At 42.2% G+C, this 23598-nt stretch overlaps 1 protein-coding gene and 1 pseudogene across 4 annotated transcripts in view, besides 3 other annotated features; both read right to left on the bottom strand.

Moving 5' to 3' along the window:
- The window catches only part of BRMS1L (BRMS1 like transcriptional repressor), a 45626-nt gene extending 34305 nt beyond the window's left edge, over positions 1 to 11321 (bottom strand). For 2 of the 4 annotated variants that reach the window (XM_005268128.2, NM_032352.4), the window contains exons 1-4: positions 11001 to 11321; positions 6159 to 6249; positions 4554 to 4681; positions 2736 to 2815 (exon numbers count right to left, since the gene is read on the bottom strand). In XM_005268128.2, coding sequence (XP_005268185.1) covers positions 2736 to 2815; positions 4554 to 4681; positions 6159 to 6249; positions 11001 to 11142 — 441 coding nt within the window. In that variant the 5' untranslated portion in view covers positions 11143 to 11321. Of the gene's footprint in view, positions 1 to 2735; positions 2816 to 4553; positions 4682 to 6158; positions 6250 to 6878; positions 6979 to 7751; positions 7865 to 10619; positions 10785 to 11000 lie in introns of those variants that run through there. The other 2 variants (XM_047431806.1, XM_017021705.1) reach the window with 2 other exon arrangements.
- Positions 10761 to 10930: a silencer, noted in NCBI's record as "silent region_5681". NCBI's record gives its function as "represses an Ori minimal core promoter by ATAC-STARR-seq in GM12878 lymphoblastoid cells {active_cell/tissue: GM12878}" and the evidence as "EXISTENCE:reporter gene assay evidence [ECO:0000049][PMID:35858748]".
- Positions 11181 to 11280: a silencer, noted in NCBI's record as "silent region_5680". NCBI's record gives its function as "represses an Ori minimal core promoter by ATAC-STARR-seq in GM12878 lymphoblastoid cells {active_cell/tissue: GM12878}" and the evidence as "EXISTENCE:reporter gene assay evidence [ECO:0000049][PMID:35858748]".
- On the bottom strand, positions 17045 to 17901 carry NUTF2P2 (nuclear transport factor 2 pseudogene 2; annotated as a pseudogene).
- Positions 17823 to 18324: an enhancer, noted in NCBI's record as "H3K4me1 hESC enhancer chr14:36288541-36289042 (GRCh37/hg19 assembly coordinates)". NCBI's record gives its function as "activates a minimal SCP1, AML or CMV promoter by ChIP-STARR-seq in naive H9 embryonic stem cells {active_cell/tissue: H9 hESC(naive)}" and the evidence as "EXISTENCE:reporter gene assay evidence [ECO:0000049][PMID:30033119]".

The following is a 23598-nucleotide window of genomic DNA, read 5'->3' as shown; positions in this document are numbered from 1 at the left end:
GAATCGCTTGAACTCGGGAGGCAGAGGATGCAGTGAGCCAGGATCACACCACTGCACTCCAGCCTGGACAACTGAGTAAGAACTTGCCTCAAAAAAAAGAAGAAGAAAAAGAGCAAAGTAAGAGTATCAAGTCACAGAGTTATCAAGACTTACTAGACTAAAAGCAATAGAAAAAGATACTATGATACTGGTGCAGAAATAGCCAAACAGAACAAATGAAACATATGGAATAAATGAAAAAGGTTATTAACAGGCCAGCTCATATATGGGCATTTGATATACAAAAGAGAGAAAATTGCTGAGTTCTGGGGAAACAAGGGTGTATGTAATAAATAGTGTTGACATTACCTATCCATATACACAAAAAAATAAAATTAGAACCATACTTTTTCTTTTTTTTTTTGAGCCGGAGTTTTGCTCTTGTTGCCCAGGCTGGAGTGCAATGGCACGATCTCAGCTCACTGCAACCCCCGCCTCCTGGGTTCAAGCAATTCTCCTGTCTCAGACTCCCAAGTACCTGGGATTACAGGCGCATGCCACCACACCCAGCTAATTTTTGTATTTTTAGTAGAAACAGGGTTTCATCATATTGGTCAGGCTGGTCTTGAACTCCTGACAAACAGATAGCCAAATCATGAGTGAACTCCCATTTACAATTGCTACAAAGAGATTAAAATACCTAGGAATACAACTTACAAGGGATATGAAGGACCTCTTCAAGGAGAACTACAAACCACTGCTCAAGGAAATAAGAGAGGACACAAACAAATGGAAAAACATTCCATGCTCATGGATAGGAAGAATCGATATCGTGAAAATGGCCATCAGGTGATCTGCCCGCCTCGGCCTCCTAAAGTGCTGGGATTACAGGCATGAGCCACCACACCCAGCCTAGAACCATACTTTATACCATACACAAAAACTAATTAAAGGTAGTTTTGCAATCTAAATATTGAAAGCAAAATTTCAACTTTTAAAGGAAAATACATCTTTTTACCTCAAAATAGGAAGACACAAAAAGCACATCCTTGGCTCACACCTGTAATCTCAACACTTCAGGAGGCCAAGGCAGGAGGACTGCTTGAGCCCAGGTGTTTGAGACCAGCCTGGGCAACATAGTGGAACCGCTTCTCTACAAAAAATTTTAAAAATTAGCTGGGTGTGATGGCATGCATCTGTAGTCCCAGCTACTCAGGAGGCTGAGGCAGGAGGATGGCTTGAGGCCAGGGGAGTAGAGGCTGCAGTGAGCCATGATCATGCCACTGCACTCCAGCCTGGGTGACAGAGTGACACCCTGTCTCAAAACAAAAGAAAACAAAACACATCCCATAAATAAAAAGATAATAAATTCAACTACATTAAAATGTAAAACTTCTTTGCAGCAAGTCATCAGAAAGAGTGAAAACATCGTACCACCTGGGCAAAAAGATTTGCAAAGCATACAACCAGCAAAGCATTTATAGCCAGAATATATAAAGAACTTATATAGTCAATGAGGGAAAGACTAAAAGCCAACACAAAGGCAAGAAATACAAATAGGCACTTCTTAGGAAAAAATATCCAAGCAGCTAGTAAACGCCAAAAAGATAATCAATCTCAGTTGTAATTATGAAAATGAAACAATGAGCTCTATCATTTTTATACCTAACTACTCTTAGTTTACGGCACATTAAAGTGACAGAAGAATCGTTATAGAACTTGTCCTCTTATTTCTACCTGTATATCTATAATCTTGTCTAGATTTGATAAAAAGTTATCTGCAAAACGGGCACTATGGGGTTTTTTTGTTTGTTGTTGTTGTAGTTGCTATTTCTGAGACAGGGTGACACTCTGTTACCCAGGCTGCAGAACAGTGGCACAATCACAGCTCACTGCAGCCTCAACCTCCGAAGGTCAAGCAATCCCCTCACCTCAGCCTCCTGAGTAGCTAGGACTACAGCCACCTGCCACCATGCCCAGCTAATTTTTCTATTTTTTGTAGAGGTGGGGGGTCTCACTATGTTGCCCAGACTGGTCTTGACTTCCTGAGCTCAAGAAATCCTCTCGCCTCAGCCTCCTAAACTCTTGGGATTACAGGTGTGAGCCACCATGCCTGGGCACTATGTTTTTTAAATGCTATAAATATTTTAACCCATTTATGCCTAGTGTTCCATTACTGGAATGTTAAGCTTGTGGGAGTTATTTATATCCTACTGCTCAAGGTCATCACCAAGATCTGATTTTTCACACACACAAAAAAATTGCAACCTTCAGCATAAATGGGTTAAATGCAAAATAAACAGAATATACAGAAAAATATACCTATTTTTTTTCCCATAAATAGAGAATTCTGCCCAAAGATGTGGAAATAGGTCTAGACAGACAGAAACTAATTCTATAGCCCAACATCCTAACTGCACCATTGAGTGTATATTTCGCAAATCTAATCCACATTATACTAATTATACTAATATTTTCAGTAATGCCAGGTGACATAATCGTTGCAAAGTCTTTTTAAAGTAACAGCTGCAAAACTTCTAAAATTATCTCAGTTTTTTTCTATGGTCCTTTCTTTGTGTCCTATCTCCAATACAGCTTCCAATGCAACTCTATTCTTTTTTTTTTTTAATCACACACAAATGATGAGCTAAAGTACTATTTAATATTGTTTTACTTAGTTTACTTTTTTAACTACTACACTCAGAAAAGGCTTGAAGAGATGAAATTAGCTTAAAAGTTATGCAAAATGACAGTACCTCACAATGCTGGCGAGAAGCTTGAATTTCACATTCATATTTGTTCTTTACAGATTCTAAGCAGAGCTCTCTATAGATTCCTGCAACCAAACACAATTACTCTGATTATGTTAGCAATGAGAAGTTCCATTATCACTTCCCTACAGGAATTCTGTCCTCACTGTATTTAATAAGATGGATCAAGAAAAAATTGAAAAGTGAGTCTAACTTTGTCTTTAAAGACTAAAAATAAAAGGCTCACTTAAAATATATATCCAAAAAGATTAGAAATTATAAGAGCTAGAAAGAAACTGTACTGCTAGTTTTTGTTCTTAATCTATTCTTCTAAAGATTACTCCTAAATGTTTGATACAGAATAATCAAAATGAAAATAAAACTCTTTTCCTGTGAAAAACAATCTCTCAAGTTTCTCAAAATAGAAATGGAGATAATAAACTCTGGTGTCATCAATCACATATACTCAGAGTAACAGCTAGATACTATACCCCACCAAAACCACTTTTTTTTTAACTATCATTTTCAATCCAAAGAATCCACGAGGAGTAAATGTATATAAACTGATATAACAAAATCAATTATGTCTGGAGTGCTCCTGACAGGACTTTATCTAGAGGATGGATACCCAAGATAGTTTAACTTAGACCCTAACAGGACAATAGTATAAAATAGGTAACATGGCCATGCAAATATGTCACTACAAAAACGGCACGCAAAGAGCTCTGGATATGTATTCTAAGCTTTATGCCATAGTTGGCCCTAGAAATGTAATTATCTCTCTTTGTATAGTAAAGGCAAGAGACAGATATCTGGAACTACGTCATCAGCAACACATTCACACACACTACTCTGCAAAATCAAAATATAAAAGAGGCCAGAGTAGAAAAGTAAATAATCGACTCAAGTAATATTTCCTGATCATCCATGTAATCTAAAAGAACAAAGAAAATTAGGGATATTTTTACTTCTAAGGGTATGTTGTCAATATGTAAAGATAGCAGTGAAGAGTATCATATCATCTACATAATATTAAGCACTCAAAAATAAAATTTGGTTAAAGGAGGGTTTAGTAAAAAGAACTTATTATCAACAATGCCTTAGGTATTATCTAACAGGTACATAAGGGTCAATTAGTGCCACATAAGAGAAAAACAACCAGCATCTCCACTAATTAAAGTTTAGTTTTTGACTATGAAAAATCATATATATATCCCTTGATTATGAGTGCCAGGACATGATACTGAGGCTGGATCCTATTTACAAACATAAGACTGAAATGTAACCATACAAATATAGTGCATCTTTGTTTATTTGTAGCCACAAATGAGTAACCAAACTTATCAAAGTAAAAAGGAAAAATTAAATCATCTAGTTCAAGGCAAGTTTCCTGTTCTATAATATCCTGATCAAACATTTTTAAAATTTTTTATAAATTAAAAAAAATCCTATCACTTTTACGTATTAAAAAAATGCCTAGAACACTTAAACTTTATCTAATAGGGAATTAAAATGTGATAGTAACAGTCTCTCTTAATGAAAGTATCATGGTTTCCAGTTGTTTCACCAAATGTGGAACTATCTTCTCAACAACACTGTAAACAACTTGAGGGCTTTTTTTTTTTTTAATCCCCTACAGCAGCAGAGCAAAGCAAGAGGTATTCAATAAATACAGTAACTGTGGGCTAACTAAAAGTAAAATATTCTGGTCGATGTAAATATGCTTGTAATCCCATCAACATAAAACACTTACTTGATAAACACCTTTTAAAGCTACTGAAGAGTTTACATTCTATATATGGAAAAGATTCTTCACTTTCCTACCTGCTACCTTTGTACGAATTTGCATATTTTCCTGTAAAGTTGCCAGCGGTTCCAAGTATTCTGGTGCTTTTCCAGCTATGACTTCTTGTAGTTTTGCATCCACCTGACTTAATCGTTCTTTATAAAGTCTTAACAAAGCAAAAATTAATATGTTAATTTAAAAATCTCAACAAAGGCTAACAATTTGCCATTTCTATACATTATTTGTTCCCAATATCATTTATATTCTAATAATCTATCAAATATATTTTGCCTTGATCTCAAGCAGAGAACTCAGTTACATTATTTGACTTTATGCACATAATCACAAAACAGGTATCTATCTATCACTCTTTAATGGTCAATTCCCAATACAAAAAAATAAAATTGAAATAACTACTTTTTGGCACTATTAATGTTTGTTTTTGTTTTAACCACAGAACAATAAAACCAATTCTAAGAGAAAAGGTCATTTAAACACTGAGTTTAAAAGAAACAAAGAAATCATTTTGAATAGACATTACCAGTTGTCAAAATAAATAATTACTTGGCTTCTCTCTACCGTTCCTGAAAAGGAGTCAGTATTACTGTATTCAGCCTACTTAATTTTTTTTTTTTTTTGAGACGGAGTCTCGCTCCGTCACCCAGGCTGGAGTGCAGTGGCGCAATCTCGCTCACTTCAAGCTCCGCCTCCTGGGTTCACGCCATTCTCCTGCCTCAGCCTCCCGAGTAGCTGGGACTACAGGCGCCCGGCTAATTTTTTTTTTTTTTTTTTTTGTATTTTTTAGTAGAGACGGGGTTTCACCGTGTTAGCCAGGATGGTCTCGATCTCCTGACCACGTGATCCACCCGCCTCAGCCTCCCAAAATGCTGGGATTACAGGCGTAAGCCACCGTGCCCGGCCCAGCCTACTTAATTTTTTAAAAGAGCAAAGAGGAAGTAGACTAATGAAGGTAAAACCAATGTTTTTATGACCTGACATACTAAGTTTGTCTCAACTACAAATGAAGAAGCCATAACAAAATTAGTTGCTCAATGAACAAGGAACTCAAAAATGGGGCAGGAGGTCCCTGTTACTCCTATTTATAAGGCCACTTACAAATACTCTAATTTGCCAGCTGTCACCAATACCTTTAGAGTATGATACAACTCAGTGTTTATTTTTGGCAATAATCCTGCAGGACAGAACTAATTTTTTTTTTTTTTAAGACAGTGTCTTACTCTGTCGCCCAGGCTGCAGTGCAATGGCACGAGCACAGCTCACTTGCAGCCTTGACCTCCTGGGCTCAATTGATCCACCTGCCTTAACCTCCCAAGTAGCTGGGACCACAGGCACGTACCACCACATCCAGCTAATTTTTAAATATTTTATGGAGACCAGGTCTTCCGATGTTGCCCAGGCTGGTCTCCAACTCCTGGGTTCAAGCCCACAAAAAAACCCTGCCTCCAAACCCTCAGTTTAGTTAATGAGGTCTTTAGTAGACAAACAATAGTTGAAGCCTCTTTCAAATTGGTCTGTCGCATAAAATACAAAACAGCTGAGACTGAATCTAGTTGCTCTTGTGCTAGTATACAAGTGACAAGGTTGAGATTCAGTGACAATGGCCTTCTAAAGTCACTACTTACTGATCTTTGAGATCGGTAAACTGTTTTTCAAGATTGGACATTTCATCCAAACATTCCATTCTTCTTCTTTCACAGTCTTCATCATCCATTTCTGTTAATAAAAAGGCAAATATAAAAGATAAACTTAATTTTCAAATTTATCTGAACATCTCAAATATATCTGAACGTAATTCAAATAGGAAGAAAAACTGTAATATGAAGAGAAGACCTATATTAAGCCTTAAAAGAAAATAAACAAGATTTATCAAAAATAATAATTTCTGCTGGGCGTAGTGGCTCATGCCTCTAATTCCAGCAGTTTGGAAGGCCAAGTCAGGAGGACAGATTGAGCCCAGGACTTCAAGATCAGCCTGGGCAACAGAGGAAGACCCCATCTCTACAAAATATAAAAATATTAGCTGGGCACGGTACCATGAGCCTGTAGTCTCACCTACCAGGAGGCTGAGGCAGGAGGATCGCCTGAGCCCAGGAGTTGGAGGCTGCAGTAAGCCATGATTGTGACACTGCACTCCACCCTGGGTGACAGAGTGACCTAGTCTAAAAAAAAAAAAAAAAAAAATCCACTATAGATTTAATCTAAAATACAGATGAGTATATAAAACTATACTGGTCTCTAGACCCTCTTACTTTTATTCATTTTTAAATCACTTTAAAGGACTGACTATAAGCTATAACTATAAAGTAATTAGCCCACATTTGGTTTGTTTTCCACCAACTCACCAGAATGTAGCACCAAAATGACTGTGTCCTTTAAAGGCTAACATTGCTCAAAAACATTTTTGGGATTCTTCTTTCAGAACTGCTCACATGGCTGATTTGCCTGTCACATAAAAAAAGAAAAGTGGCCGGGTGTGGTGGCTCATGCCTGTAATCCCAGCACTTTGGGAGGCTGAGGCTGGAGGATTGCTCGAGCTCAAGCGTTCAAGACCAGCCTGGGCAACATGGTGAAACCCCATCTCTAATAAAAATACAAAAATTAGCCAGACATAGTGGTGGATGCCTGTAGTCCCAACTGCTCGAGAGACCGAAGTGGGAGGATCGTTTGAACTTGATAGGCAGAGGTTGCAGTGAGCCAAGATTGCGCCAGCCTGGGCAACAGAGATCCTGTCTCAAAAATAAAAAGTGAAAGAAAGGCCAGGCATGGTGGCTCACTCCTGTAATCCCAGCACTTTGGGAGGCTGAGGCAGGCGGATCACCTGAGGTCAGGAGTTCGAGACCAGCCTGACCAACATGGAGAAAACCCATCTCTACTAAAAATACAAAATTAGCTGGGCGTGGTGGCACATGCCTGTAATCCCAGCTACCTGGGAGGTTGAGGCAGGAGAATCGCTTGAACCCAGGAGGTGGAGGTTGTGGTGAGCCAAGATCGTGCCATTGCACTCTAGCCTGGGCAACAAGAGCGAAACTCCATCTCAAAAAAAGGAAAAAAAAAGAAAAAGAAAAAGGAAAACTAATCTTATTATGTTTACCACAGGCTCTCCTGGTCTGCCATTCCTACGTTCCCTTATTCCGTCTACCCATATTACTATCAGTGAGAAAGAGGCAAATGAGGAGGAAAATACAAACTTTTTAAGGAAAGCAACTGTTAATTACCAGGTCTGTCCTATAGTCCACATTTTCTATGTTCATATCACATATATTCATTCATCAAAATAACTGAAGCACAAAATGATCTGCATCTTGATCTTCATCAAATAAAAGTCAAACTATGAGAAAGAGTTAAATCATGTTCAATTATTTTTATATAACATGGAAGGCTGACTCATTTTTTTCTCATTTTCTAAAACAGATTAAAAATACTTCTGGCTTTTGATTGCTTACTTCTTGGCTACTCAAAACTTGGTCCCTCAAGATGACTCACTATCCAAGTTCTCTGGATAGTAGAGGCTTTTCCGTAGCCTTAGAATTTGCTCAGCACCAACATTTGAGAAGAAAACACTGTGAAAGTTTAACATGAAAGACATATGGTAGAACAGAGATGCTTTAACAGAAGCAAACTGCAAAATTTATTTAAACAATTTCTTTGCACTTAAAATTTTGACTTGTAGTTCAAATTATTATCACATTCTTCAAAAATTAAGTTGTTCATTATTTTTTGGGATGGAATTTTTAAAAGTTAAAAATCACAAGAGTCAACATAAAAATTATAGGGGGAGAATTTTAACAAATAGAATTTTATGAGATCCTTGCTCCTATCATAAATGCAAGAACATCTGAAGACAAAATACTTTATAGATCTAAGAAACATATTCACCAACAGGCCAGGTGCAGTGGCTCCCGCCTGTAATCCCAGCACTTTGGGAGGCAGAGTCGGGTGGATCACTTGAAGTCAGGAGTTCAAGACCAGCCTGGCCAACGTGGCAAAACCCCATCTCTACTAAAAACACAAAAATTAGCCGGGTGTGTTGGAGGATGCCTGTAATCCCAGCTACTCAGGAGGCTGAGGCTGGAGAATCTAATCCAGGAGGCAGAGGTTGCAGCGAGCCAAGATCGTGCCACTGCACTCCAGCCTGGGTGACAGAGCAAGACTGTCTCAAAAAAAAGAAAAAAAAAAAAGAAATATATTCCCATACAGTCTCCTTTCTCTATATTCCCCGCTTTTGAAATCTCACCTACTTTCATGGCAAGGCAGATGACTTACAAATTATTCTCCCCTTCCCATATCGGGCAGGTTCCAATGTCACATTTCCATTTGTCAGTTGGGCAATCTTAAGCATACTGCCATCACTCCAAAAGCAACACGTCGGCCAGGCACGGTGGCTCACACCTATAATCCTAACACTTGGGGAGGCCGAGGCAGGCAGATCACCTGAGGTCAGGAGTTCAAGACCATCCTGGCCAACATGGTGAAACACAAAAATTATCTGAGCGTGGCGGCGCATGCCTGTAATCCCAGCTACTCGGGAGGCTGAGGCAGGAGAATTGCTTGTACCCTGGAGGTGGAGGTTGCAGTGAGCCAAGATGATGCCATTGCACTCCAGCCTGGGTGCCAAGAGCAAAACTCCTTCTCAAAAAAAAAAAAAAAAAAAGGCTGGGAATGGTAGCTCATGCCTGTAATCCCAGCACATTGGGAGGTTGAAGTGGGTGGATCACGAGGTCAGGAGTTCGAGACCAGCCTGGACAACATGGAGAAACCCTGTCTCTACTAAAAATACAAAAAATTAGCTTGGTGTGGTGGCACCCGCCTATAATCACAGCTACTCGGGAGGCTAAGGCAGGAGAATTGCTTGAACCCAGGAGGCGGAGGTTGCAGTGAGCCAAGATCACGCCATTACACTCCAGCCTGGGCAACAGAGCGAGACTCCATCTCAAAGAGAGAAAAGAAAAAAAAAAGCAACATGTCTGAAATACTCTTTTCTTTCACCTTCATCTCAAATCTTTCACTTTTCTATTTCTGTTGATGCTACCGCCACTCTCCTTGTATCTTGGTTTTTCTCTTACCTTCAATCCTAAACTTGCATTCATCAATCCTGTTTTGTGCTTTCTTTGAAATCACTCACATCTATACTTTCCTGTTCTTTTCCGAGCTCAACTCCTTCTCCCAAGGTTTTCACGCTCTTTTGAATAAGCCCCAAACTCTGGCCCTTGTACTTTTTCTTACATCCCTCTCCCTGCAGGGATACCCACCACCCCAAACCAAATTCTACTCATTCTTCAAGATAATTAAGGTAATCCCACCTTCTTCAGCTAGGCTTTGTGACCACCCAATATTGAAACGATTTCCTCTGCCTCTGAATTCCTACAGCAACATTTAGTTAAGCATTCATTTGGCAATTTAATCAAGTGGTGACTTATGATAGCTTTTTAAGTGAGCCCAGATAATAACTATTTATCCCTCATATTGAGTACTGTCCAGTGCTGCACAAAGAAGTCACTCATAAATATTTTTGGATGGCTGATTTACTGATTGAAATTATATCCTTCCATGGAGATTTGCTTTGCAAGGGAAACATGAAAAGAGGGCATCTGGGTGATACTAGGCTGTCATCAACCTATCATCAATGCTTCCTTTACATGACCAAAATCAGGCCAAGACAAAGAAGTCAGTCTCATCTCCATCATTTGAATCGAAAGAAAATAATCCCGGTAATCACAAATTCCATTTCACTTTAGAATAACCATTCCTAAAAGTTTGCAAAATTTATTTGTAGTGTTAATCTGCCCTCCTCCCCCACCCAAAATAATTTAAAACAGCCCAAAGTTAGAAAAAACTGAAGGGAAGAAAAGACTTGGAGAATTTTCAACGCTGCCAAAACTCAGCCAATTTATAAGCATATGAAGATCCAAAATGAGCCCGAATGTTGGTCCCTTCCTCTCAGTCTTGCAAACTTCAGGGAGCTACTGAACGGGACCGCTCTCAAGTTAGCCCCCGAAAAGACACTGATGTAAAAGTGCTGACCGGCAAGTTGACTTGCAAACTGAGGTTAATTACTAAGCCGACCCTCTGTCCCGGCAACTCACTTGCGCTGAGAAGTGAGGGTTGCAAAGGTGAAAATAGGGAAAGAGGTCGGTGGGCTGGGGAGAGGAGGCATTTCCAGTTTGTCTGCTGCGGGAAGTTGTCCGCCTGGGCTGGTCGCTCCAGAGCACCACCGGGGGCAGGACCACGCCGCGTTTGGGAGCTGGACAAGCCCAGGCCCGCCCCGCCCCGCCGCCGGGACCCATCAGGAGCCAGACAGCGCCCAGCGACCGGTCAGGGTGCAGCCCAGGGCCCAGAGCCAGTCTCCGCCCCTTCCCTCTGTCCCCGCCCCGCTTTCCCAGCAGGACGCAGCCGCCTGGCGTGCGGAGAGCGGCCTGTCGCGCGCTGGGCGCGGGGACTCAGGGTCCCAGCAGTGGGTCGCGCACCTGAGCTATCTCCATCCTCGGAGACCGACGAGCTCTCAGTGTCCTCGTCCTCGGAGCTGCTCCCCTCATTTTCGGCGTAGTCCACCTCCATCTCATCGTGATGGTTGGTCTCCTTCTTATCCCCTCGGGAATGGACTGGCATTTTCCAGCCGCGCCGTCGCTTTCCACTACCGGCGCCCAGCCCGGCCACCGCCGCTTCAATGAAGGGCGCGCGGAACGCCCCAACCCACCCAGCCACCGAGCTTGCTCGCCCCCTTGGCTCCTCCCCGCCCCCGGCCCGGGCCTCACAACCTAACCCGCAGGCTCTGCGATGGGAGCTCTGCCATTGGCGGAGGCCTTCCACCGAGCCAGAGGGCGGGGGCTTGCCCTGCTCTGGTACGATTGGTTGCCCGCAATTACGACGCGGCCTTCCGATGCTTGCCGGGAGTTGTAGTTCGTAGGTCTCAGACCTGCAGGGGCTGCACGCTTCCATCCCTCGGCAGCCCTGATCACTTCTTCCTTCTGGACTTCAAGTCCCACAAGGCACGAAAGCTGACACTCTGGATCGCAGTTTATAAACTAAACAGAAACAGATTGTGCGAATTTAGTCTGTATTTATCTATTTCCCGCCAAGTGATTGTTTGACCTGCCTGACCATCAGAGATGTTACTGTTAGATGTGAAAATGTCTTTTGCCTAAAAGGATCTTTGCCTGCTCATTGAGCCTGGGGAACTGGAGAACCATCTGTTTTACTAAGCACCTTTATTACCTACCATTAATAAACTGTTTTATTTAATTATTAACTATAGACGATAACTTGCACTTTCTGTGTTGTGCAAAAATCTTTAAATTATTCTTGAAACTTTTACAATACAGAAGGTAAGGAAGTTTTATCTTGGCATTTTCAATCTAATATTTTTGGCATTTATTTTTTACCAAATGCAGTCGGAAAATGCCATCAGTCCTGATTTAACTTTAGTTTTCAATGAAAAATACATACTTAACCAGATGTACTTTCTCAAAAAAAGGGTACATAGCTCCCTCTCCCTCTCCCTCGCCCTCGCCCTCGCCCTCGCCCTCTCCACGGTCTCCCTCTCCCTCTCTTTCCACGGTCTCCCACTGATGCCGAGCCGAAGCTGGACTGTACTGCTGCCATCTCGGCTCACTGCAACCTCCCTGCCTGATTCTCCTGCCTCAGCCTGCCGAGTGCCTGCGATTGCAGGCGCGTGCCGCCACGCCTGACTGGTTTTCGTATTTTTTTGGTGGAGACGGTTTCGCTGTGTTGGCCGGGCTGGTCTCCAGCTCCTAACCGCGAATGATCCGCCAGCCCCGACCTCCCGAGGTGCCGGGATTGCAGACGGAGTCTCGTTCACTCAGTGCTCAATGGTGCCCAGGCTGGAGTGCAGTGGCGTGATCTCGGCTCGCTACAACCACCTCCCAGCCGCCTGCCTTGGCCTCCCAAAGAGCCGAGATTGCAGCCTCTGCCCGGCCGCCACCCCGTCTGGGAAGTGAGGAGCGTCTCTGCCTGGCCGCCCATCGTCTGGGATGTGAGGAGCCCCTCTACCTGGCTGCCCAGTCTGGAAAGTGAGGAGCGTCTCTGCCCGGCCGCCATCCCATCTAGGAAGTGAGGAGCGTCTCTGCCTGGCAGCCCATCGTCTGGGATGTGGGGAGCACCTCTGCCCCGCCGCCCCGTCTGGGATGTGAGGAGCGCCTCTGCCCAGCCGCGACCCCGTCTGGGAGGTGAGGAGCGTCTCTGCCCGGCCACCCCGTCTGAGAAGTGAGGAGACCCTCTGCCCGGCAACCGCCCCGTCTGAGAAGTGAGGAGCCCCTCCGCCCGGCAGCCGCCCCGTCTGAGAAGTGAGGAGCCCCTCCGTCCGGCAGCCACCCCGTCTGGGAAGTGAAGAGCGTCTCCGCCCGGCAGCCACCCCGTCCGGGAGGGAGGTGGGGGTCAGCCCCCGCCAGGCCAGCCTCCCGGACGGGAGGGAGGTGGGGGGGTCAGCGCCCCGCCCGGCCAGCCGCCCCTTCCGGGAGGGAGGTGGGGGGGTCAGCGCCCCGCCCGGCCAGCCGCCCCTTCTGGGAGGGAGGTTGGGGGTCAGCCCCCTGCCCGGCCAGCCGCCCCGCCCGGGAGGTGAGGGGCGCCTCTGCCCGGCCGCCCCTACTGGGAAGTGAGGAGCCCCTCTGCCCGGCCACCACCCCGTCTGGGAGGTGTGCCCAACAGCTCATTGAGAACGGGCCAGGATGACAATGGCGGCTTTGTGGAATAGAAAGGCGGGAAAGGTGGGGAAAAGATTGAGAAATCGGATGGTTGCCGTGTCTGTGTAGAAAGAAGTAGACATGGGAGACTTGTCATTTTGTTCTGTACTAAGAAAACTTCTTCTGCCTTGGGATCCTGTTGATCTGTGACCTTACCCCCAACCCTGTGCTCTCTGAAACATGTGCTGTGTCCACTCAGGGTTAAATGGATTAAGGTCGGTGCAAGATGTGCTTTGTTAAACAGATGCTTGAAGGCAGCATGCTCGTTAAGAGTCATCACCACTCCCTAATCTCAGGTACCCAGGGACACAAACACTGCGGAAGGCCGCAGGGTCCTCTGCCTAGGAAAACCAGAGACCTTTGTTCACTTGTTTATCTGCTGACCTTCCCTCCACTATTGTCCTATGACCCTGCCAAATCCCCCTCTGCGAGAAACACCCAAGAATGATCAATAAAAATAAATAAATAAATAAATAAATAAATAAAGGGTACATAGACAAGGAAGCCTCAATAGGTATCATAACTCATTAAGTGACCATTTATCCTCTGTATCAGGTATCTTGGTAAGCCCTTTACATGGGTTTAGTGAGTTTAATTCTCAATTTAATAGCCCTGAGTTAGGTGCCATTGTTATTCCCATTTTACGGATAAGGAAACTTCATTTGCAGACCAATCTTAAAACTATATTTTACCCCTTATAACGACAGGGTTTCTTCTTCTTGAAGTGGCAATTTGCTATTGAAAGATAGTACAGGCCGGCAGGGTGGCTAACGCCTGTAGTCCCCACACTTTAGGAGGCCGAGGCGAGTGGATCACTTGAGGTCAGGAGTTCAAGACCAGCCTGGCCAATATGGTGAAACCCAATCTCCAGAGGCTGAGGTGAGAGAATTGCTTGAACTTGAGAGGTCAAGATTGCAGTGAGCCGACATTGCACCACTGCACTCCAGCCTGGGTGACAGAGTGAGACCCTGTCTCCTGTCTCAAAGAGAAAAAAAAAAAAGTTCATAGAATATTGTGGATTGTATAGCATTGCATTCTCAAAGACAAGGTCCAAAAATATGCAGTTAAATTTGCAATTTTATTTAATTATCTATCTATTTAGAGACAAGATCTCGTTCTATCGCCCAAGCTGGAGTGCAATAGCAACCTCAAACTTCTGGGCACAAGCGATCATCTCGCCTCAGCCTTCCAAACACCTGAGACCACAGGCACATGCCACCATGCCCAGCTAATATTTTCGTTTTTTTTTAGTGACAGGGTCTAGCCCAGGCTGGTCTCGAACTCTAGTCTCAAGCAATCTGTCCACCTAAGCCTCCCAAAAGCACTGAGATTCCCAGATGTGAGCCACTGTACCCAACCTAGATTTGTAATTTAATGACAGAAAACCTTTTAAGTGCTACCTATCTCTTACAGAGTAAAATACAAAATAAGGGATGTGTATTATATTTAGTGTCAGCCTACTTCTCCCTTTCTCATTTTACAGTATTGTCCAAAATTGAACTCCTTACAGTTTCTAAACACACAAGCTGTTTCCCATTTCAGTGTCTTTGCACATTCTATTTCCTTTACAACCCTGTTCCTCTCCTTTTCTTTTTCAAAGCCACTTTTTAGACAACACATATCACCGTCAGCACCTCTACCATTCAGGGCACTCCTGTTCCTTCAGTTGACTGCTGTATTTTGAAATTTGCAAGTTTATACTTGTTCCTATGACAATATATTGTAAACTGTTTAGCAAATGCGTCTCACCTATTGGATTATGAGTTCCTTGAGAGCAGAGGTTGTCTTAAGCTGAAATGCAAGTGCAAAGGCATGCAGTAGTCAGGCAGGTCAAGTTAAAAGATGTAAGCTTTACATGAGTGGTACGGATTAAAGGGGGCAGCTGCATTTGGCCCCAGCCAATTGTTACTACCTGAGAATTTTGGCCTACCGATGTCAGACCTTCTGATTTCAAAGAGAAACCGGAAATTTGGATCTCTATGTGAAATATCTAGAACTATAAACATTATCTCAAGTGATGTTTTTTGTTTTGTTTTGTTTGTGTTCTTTAAACTTCAGATCAAACAAAAACAGCTGTGGGTAAAATCCCTGGCCTCTAAATATCAGCAGCTATCAGAGTGTGTGCTAAATCGTAACAATTAGATTTCTGGTCACTCAATGTGCCAAGTGTGTTATGTGCTTTAAGTACATTAATTCACTGAATCCTCATAACAATCCTATGAAGTCGATACTATTATGCCCTCCATTTTATAGATGAAAAAACCGAGGCACAGAGCAGTTAGAGTACTTGGCCAAAGTCACATAGCTACTACGTAACAGATCTAAGATTTGAACTTGGGTAGTCTGACATAAAAATCTGTGTGCAACCACTGGCATACAGTGCGCCTCTAGTGGTTGCTTTCTGTTTCTGCTGTTCCAGGAAAAACAGGAAAGGTGGAAAGGAGGAGGCATGGGTTCTAGCCTTGTTCTCCTAGTAACCAACTGATAAAATTTGGCAAACCACATAATCTCTGATCCGTTGTAAAATAAGAAGTTTGCAGTGTGTTAACTTTAAATTCTCTTCCAGCTCTAAAATTCCTGTCATCATTAAGTTTAATTTTAAGGCAGACAGAATAATAGGAGATTATGCAATTAGAGTTGCATGAGAGTATTTTGCCTAAGGCAAGAGTTTCTCTCACCTCCTCTCAAACAGATTTTAGAAAAGATGCGTAGGGAATGTGAGAAGAACCATAATAGGGAAAAGTTAATAAGGCTAAAAAATAATTTTGTTGATTTAGAAAATACAAAATAAAGTCATGGAAGCAGAATGAAGTTTCCTTAATCAAGGCAGTTAAAAGGGTAATAATGATTATTATTATTATATTATTATTATGCAGTTGGGAGGTCCAGGATGCCTTACATTTATGTAGCACTTTACATTTTGCATAGGGCCTATATAAACATTAGATATATTTTAAGTCTCACTTTTTATTAATCCATTCATATTTACATATTTGTAGAGCTCTGAAACTCATAGCTAGTCATCATCAAAATCTCCTATATCTTCATTCTCTTCCCTGAACTGTTCCCTCAACATTCTTGTTCTAAAGGAAATATGGCTCTCCCTTAGGACCTTGCTTCCTTTGTACCCTCCTCCTCCTCCTGAGCCTTGTCATGGAGTAGGTATGCTCCTCGTTCTCCTTCTTCCATCCAGAGGCTCCTGCTTCCCTCTTCCCTAAAATCTGCCAGTTTGTCATCAGGATATACCACACAGTATATATGTGGGTGTCATCTATATAACCCAGGGTCACTCCCTCTCACGTTTTGAAGAATTTAGCTCCTGGCTCAGTGTCATTCTCTCCAATAACATGCCTATCATAATTCTTGGTAGATAATCCCATAGCACTCCGTCTCCTGCTGGGTTTGCTCTGGTACAAAGTAGACATATAGTAATTTTGGCATTTTGCTTCTAGTTTTCCTCCCCTATCTTCTTTGGGGTATACTTTTTTTCTATTCTGTTTTGTGTAATATTTTAAGTCATAAATATTTAAACACAGAGAAAGGTATTCAGAACATTGCATATGTAACACAGTACCTACCTCTCAGCTCTGTCAAATGTTAGCATTTTACATTTGCTTCCGATGCTTCTCAATCCTAATTCTCTCCTTCCCTTTCCAGAGTAACTAGTATCCTGTTTTTGGTTACCATGTGCTTTGGTTACCCATGCATCTATACATACTATTTTTGTATATGTATCCAAAAATAATATATAGTATTGTTTGGCCTGTTTAAAGTGCTCATATTTTTATTTTAATTATTTATTTTTATTATTTTTTATTTTAGGAAGATGTTGTGGTTTTATTGTATCATGAGGCATTGAAACATCTGAACAAATCAATGTCTGGGCGGTGAGGCAGCTTCTTTCTCTTCACTTCTTTGGGTTGCTAGAGCAACTTGTCAGTAGATTAAAAGAAAAAAAAGGACAATCTTTTGCATTACTTAAGTCTTTCCAAGGCATGCGCTGGTACAATACAAACTTCTCCCGTCAGATGCAACTAGTCTAGCGTCCAAACATCATGCACAACACCTCGGCGGCAGCAGCGCACTGCACCCACTCCCGCCACGGCCCTGCTCATTTGTGCATGATATTTGGAGCATCTGGAGGAGTGGGAATAGCACTGGGGAGAGGAGGGAGCAAGAAACAGCATGAGTGCCTGCTGAGAGGTCAGCCAAAGTTGTGCAGGGCGAGCCTGAACATGTCATTGGTGCAAACCCAAGTATTGTTGATGTTCTTTAATAGGAACATCTGGTGGAACCCCATGATGGCGGTCTTCATCCGCCTTAAGCTGGCCCACAACCATGCTGATGATGCAGCTATGCGGCGTGAGCTGATGGTCCTGCGCGGTGATGCTGTGCTGGATTTTCTGGAACCGAAGGCTAGACAACTTCTCCACAATGGCAGCTTTCCCCTGGAACTGTTGTCCTTCCCACGTAAGGCATGATGCGTCAATGTAAATTGCGCCTAGTTGGGGTCTATCGTTATCAAATAACTGGTAGTAATGTGGAATGAAGCTGGATCCTATCTGCTCCCAAATTGGCTTGTCTCCCACTCTGGACCGTCAGCCGGCCTCGCGGAGACCCGAGGGGCTGGCACGATGGCTGCAGCGGCGGCGGCAACCCAGCACGGTCTCAAAATGCTCATATTTTTAAGTGGTCTCATGCATTACGTATGCTACAACTTGACTTTCTCCTTAGTGACGTTTTTGAGATTTACCCATTGTGATTCAGGTAGCTCTCATCCAGTTATTTTTACCTGCCATAACATGTTCCATTTAGTAAATATATTCTATTGAATGAATATTACAGTTTACCCATTTACCTATTAATGGACAGGGAGGCTGCTCCCAATTTTTTCACTATTAAAAACATTTGTCTCAGACCCAGCACAGTGGCTTACGCCTGTAGTGCCAGCACTTTGGCAGGCTGAGGCAGGCGGATCGCTTGAGATTGGGAGTTGGAGACCAGCCTGGGCAACATGGCGAAACCCCGTCTCAACAAAAAATACAAAAATTAGCTGGGCGTGGTGGTGCGTGCCTGTAGTCCCAACTACTTGGGAGGTTGAGGTAGGAGGATGGCTTGAGCCTGGGAGGTCCAGGCTTCAGTGAGCTGTGATTGTGCCACTTCACTCCAGCCTGGGTGACAGACAGAGTAAGCCCCTGTCTTTAAAAAAAAAAAAAAAAAAGTTGCCTCCGTGAACATTGCATTTGTTTGTTTGTTTGTTTGTTTGTTTGCTTTTTTTTGGACAGAGTTTTCCTCTTGTTGCCCAGGCTAGAGTGCAATGGCACCATCTTGGCTCACTGCAACCTCCGACTCCCAGGTTTAAGCAATTCTCCTGCCTCCGCCTCCGGAGTGGCTGGGATTACAGGCGCCCCCCACCATGCCCGGCTAATTTTGTGGTTTTAGTAGAAATAGGGTTTCACCATGTTGGTCAGGCTGGTCTCGAACTCCTGATCTCAGGTGATCCGCCCACCTCAGCCTCCCAAAGTGCTGGGATTACAGGGGTGAGCCACCGTGCCCAGCATGAACATTGTTGTATGCACCTTTTCTTCAGGCATATGTGTGAGAATTTCTCTAGGTCAGTGTCTCCAAAGTGGGAGGAGTGTATTCGAGAACTGTATCCTGGGGGGCAGGAAGGAAATATTAAAATATAAATTTATAAAATTTTTAATTTCATCTTTGTTTGGAATAAAGTAGGTATAAGGAAGCAGTTAGAATTCCAGGTTTTACTCTGATTTACCCTCATTATATTCCTTGTGTTTGTTTTTAATCAGCAGATCCAGCTTCTGAAATAAAGCAAATTTAATTCCAGGCTCCACCACATGGTGGGGCAGAGACATCAGCTATACAATCCGTAAACTTTGTCTACTGATTGACTCAGGCCAAATGCTAGGAGTTGGAAAAACAAAGATAGGACACCAGAGCTGCTACTAATAGCTAGTATCGAATCAGGATAAATATTCTCATCATTCGAACTAAAGGGGCTTTAGGACCTACACTGAGAACTAGATGAGACCAACTTATAATTATTCCAACTACGTGAAAATGTGATTCCAATTGCTTAAGAATGAAACAATCCCCCAGGCTCAGTGGCTCACGCCTGTAAAACCAGTACTTTGGGAGGCTGAGGGGGGCAGATCACTTGAGCCAAGGAGTTTAAGACCGGCCTGGTCAACATGGTGAAATGCCGTCTCTACTAAAAATACAAAAAGTAGCTGAGCGTGGTGGCGCATGCCTGTGGTCCCAGCTACTTGGGAGGTGGAGGCATGAGAATTGCTTGAACCTTAGAGGCAGAGGTTGTAGTGAGCCAAGATCACACCACCACACTCCAGCCTGGGTGACAGAGCAAGGCTCTGTCTCAAAAATTTGTAAGCTGAACCAATTGAAATGTTTATGGTGTTGGCTATTGTTTGTGCTGTTAATCATCAGTCCTCTTCAATCAGGGCATGACCAAGATTAACTTTTTCCTCCCAAATTGATGTGGATGGTCTAGCTGTGGGCTTCATCTTCAACATCATCTTGTCCCTTCTTAAAATAAGTTATCTATTTGTAAACTGCTGATTCATTTGGAGCATCATCCCCATAAACTTCTTGTAAAGCATCAGTGATTTCACTATCCTTCCATCCAAGCTTCATCATAAATTTGGTGTTTGTTCTTGCTTCAACTTAAGCAGAATTCACATTGCTCTGATAGGGGCTCTTTACAAACTGATGTTTTATTCTTCTCAGTGCCTCAAATTGGATTCTGTCCAGACATGTTATAACAAGTTAATATAAGCTTATTTTGTTGAAAAAAAATTGACATCTATAGTTTTGGAATTTTTGTTTTGTTTTGTTTGTTGAGACAAGTTCTCCCTCTGTCGCCTAGGTTGGAGTGCAGTGGTGTGATCACAGCTCACTGCAACCTCTGCCTTCCGAGCTCAAGCAATCTTCCCGCCTCAGCCTCCTGAGTAGCTGGGACTACCGGCACGTGCCACCATGCCTGGCTAATTTTTGTATTAGCCATGGGCAACATGTCTCACCCTGTTGCCCAGGCTGGTCTTGACTCCTGGGCTCAAGCCATCCACCTGCCTCGGCCTCCCAAAGTGTTGGGACTATAGGTGTGAGCCACTGCACTCAGCCAGTTTTTTTTGTTTGTTTATAATACACATTTTTCATGAACTTTTTGAAGACCCCCTCATATCTCTCTCTTAATTCTTGGAAGGTAAGATAACAACCTAGTTTAGGTTTGGTGAGGTGAAACTTTATCACAGGTGACTCCATTTTGACTTTCAGTCTGATCTGTGGGGGCCTAGTGCAGGAACTTAGTCCAAAACAACAGCCTCCTATAATTTGTATTTAACCTGAAGTACTGTTCTGGATTCAATAGATTCATTGGTGAATAAATGAGACACAGCTTATGACTTCATAGAACTTAGGGAAAAGTAGAGAGATAAATATTAAGCAGCTTGACAAACTGAGGTATGCTCTCTGATGGTGTTAGGAGAGTATAATACAGAGACCCAATTGAGATTGGGAGTGGACGGCAGGTAAGACCTCTCTAAAGTAGTAATATTTCAGCTAAGACCTGAGAGATGAGTAGGAGTTAGCCCAGATCGGAATGAGAGGAGGGACATTATAAGCTGAGAGAATAGTGTATGTTAAGGTCCTGAACTAGAAAAAAACTTGGCATATTCATGTTTGAGGAATAAAGAGACCACTGTGGATGGTTACTAATGTTCAAGAATGAAAGAGACACAAGGTGTGTTTGGTGAGGTAAGCAAAGGCTTGATAAATTATGGTAAGGAAATTAGATTTTTTAAAATCCTAAATACAGTGGCTATTACTGGGAAGTTGGTAAGAGGAGAAGAGAAGATGAGATTAGTGATAAAATTACATTGATTTGAGATTAGCTCTTATAAAAAGATCACTGGTTGCTTAGTAGAAAATGATACTTTATCTCAATATCAATCAGATACTGTGTTAAAATATTCTGACAGTTTAGACAGGTAGAGGCTGTGTGGGGGAAACAAAATAGACAAATTTGAGATATTTGGGAGGTAAGACTGACAAAACTTGATAGTAAATTAAATTTGGGGCATGAGAGAGAAGATTAAAATATAGTTTACTTGTCTCCATATTTGAGTCATTTCCTTATGCTACTAAATAATATCAGCAGTCATTGCTTCAACAAATCTCCTTAACATATTTTGCTTGAGTTCTATGCTCACTGTGTATGATTTTCAGCTCTCTGTTCATAATAAATCATATTTCATTTAATGCTTCTTCACTTGTCTGTGAATGTTACTTGCTTTCTTTAAAAATTAAATGTCAAAAGATAACTGAACACCATAAATCATGATCAATGAAATTACAGTAGAAAGATATGGTCAGGCAGCTCACACCTGTAGCCAGCACTTCGGGAGGCCAAGGCAGGTGGATGGCTTGAGTACCCAGGAGCTCAAGACCAGCCTAGGCAGCATGGTGAGACCCCATCGCTACAAAAAATACAAAAATTAGCCAGGTATGATAGTGCATGCCCATAGTACCAGCTACTAAGCAGGCTGAGGTGGGAGATTCACTTGAGTCTGGGAGGTTGAGGCTGCAGTGAGCCAGGAATTGTGCATAGAAAGATATTACAAAACATATTGACATTGGAACTGATGTGCAAAAGCAATGATGGGTGAAATAGCTGGTCCCTTAGCATGAAGGTAGTGATACCAAACTGTACTGATATTCATTGTATTCTTCACTATCACACACAGTAAAAATGAAAAACCAGTTTCACTTAAGACTGTCCTTGATGAAGCAGTTGCTCTTTATATGCTCATTTTGTCACAGAAAATACAAAAACTATGTGTACTTAATGTTTAGAACTTTATAAGGGGCAAGGACTAATGCTGCATACTAAAGTACAATGGTGGTCTTTATAAAAAAAATTTTCTGCAATTGAGTTGTGAACTGACCTAGCAACTTTATTCAGAAAATGGCATTTTTACATGAAAGAAGTGATAAACAAACTACAATAATTCAGACATGGGTATTTGAAATATTTGCAAAAATAAATAGAGTGCGCCTGTCATTTTTAGAAGAACAATTGACATTATTTGTTGCCAAGGATAAAATTTAAGCTTCTAAGTAAAAATTAGAAATTTGAGGCCGGGCGCGGTGGCTCACGCCTGTAATCCCAGCACTTTGGGAGGCCGAGGCGGGCAGATCACAAGGTCAGGAGATCGAGACCACCCTGGCTAACACAGTGAAATCCCGTCTCTACTAAAAAAAATACAAAAAAAAAAAAATTAGCCAGTCGTGGTGGCAGGCGCCTGTAGTCCCAGCTACTCGGGAGGCTGGAGCAGGAGAATGGTGTGAACCTGGGAGGTGGAGCTTGCAGTGAGCTGAGATCGTGCCACTGCACTCCAGCCTGGGTGACAGAGCAAGACTCCGTCTCTGAAAAAAAAAAGAAATTTGAAAAACTTTTACCAACCATTGTGAGTATGAAAACTTTCCAATACTTAAAGGCTTTCTGATGTATGTGAGGTTTTTTTTTATGTTATTTAATGAAATGTGTTAGCATTTTAAAGCTCTGTATAAGTCAGCAAACAATTATTTTGATGAATGCATAATGTTACAAAATTATGTATAGGTGAAAGATCTATTCAAAGTACAAGATTTTAATATAAGGAGTACAAAATTCTTACTGATAGGCTTTCATATTCCTTACTGCAACTCATCTTTAAGAAACTACCTCTTGTTGGGGGCTTGACGTTGGGTACACAAGGACATAATCTTTATGCCAGACACTGGAGACTACCAGAAGGGGGCAGCAGGGAGCAGAGAAAGGGTTGAAAAACTATTGGGTACTATGCTCACTCCCTGTGTGATGGATTCAATTGTACCCTAAACCTCAGCATCATGCACTGTACCCATGTAACAAACCTGCACGTGTACCCCCTGAATCTAAAATAAAAGTTGAAATTTTAAAAACTACCACTTGTTGACTTTTATTGTAGTGTCAACAATTATCTAAAAAACATATTAAAACACTCTTTTTACCAATTACATATACATATGAAGCCAGATTACCTTCATATACTTCAACCAAAAGAGAATAGTGTATATAAGAATCCAGCTGTCTTTAATTAAGCCAAACTATAAGCAAATTTGCAAAAAAAAAAAATAAGCTATAACACTTTTCTCACCAAATATTTTTTGTGATAGAAAAAATAATAGATTTTTTTTTCTGCTGAGTAGTCTAAGGGAAATTTTTTTTAATTTAAATAAAAAATAGATTTTTTTTGAGTGAGATGGAGTCTCACTCTGCCACCCAGGCTGGAGTGCAGTGGCGTGATCT

Source organism: Homo sapiens, chromosome 14 (genome assembly GCF_000001405.40).
Source record: "Homo sapiens chromosome 14, GRCh38.p14 Primary Assembly".
Lineage (NCBI taxonomy): Eukaryota > Metazoa > Chordata > Mammalia > Primates > Hominidae > Homo > Homo sapiens.
The sequence above is the reverse complement of the archived record's forward strand: the minus strand, read 5'-3'. Positions and strand labels throughout refer to the sequence as shown.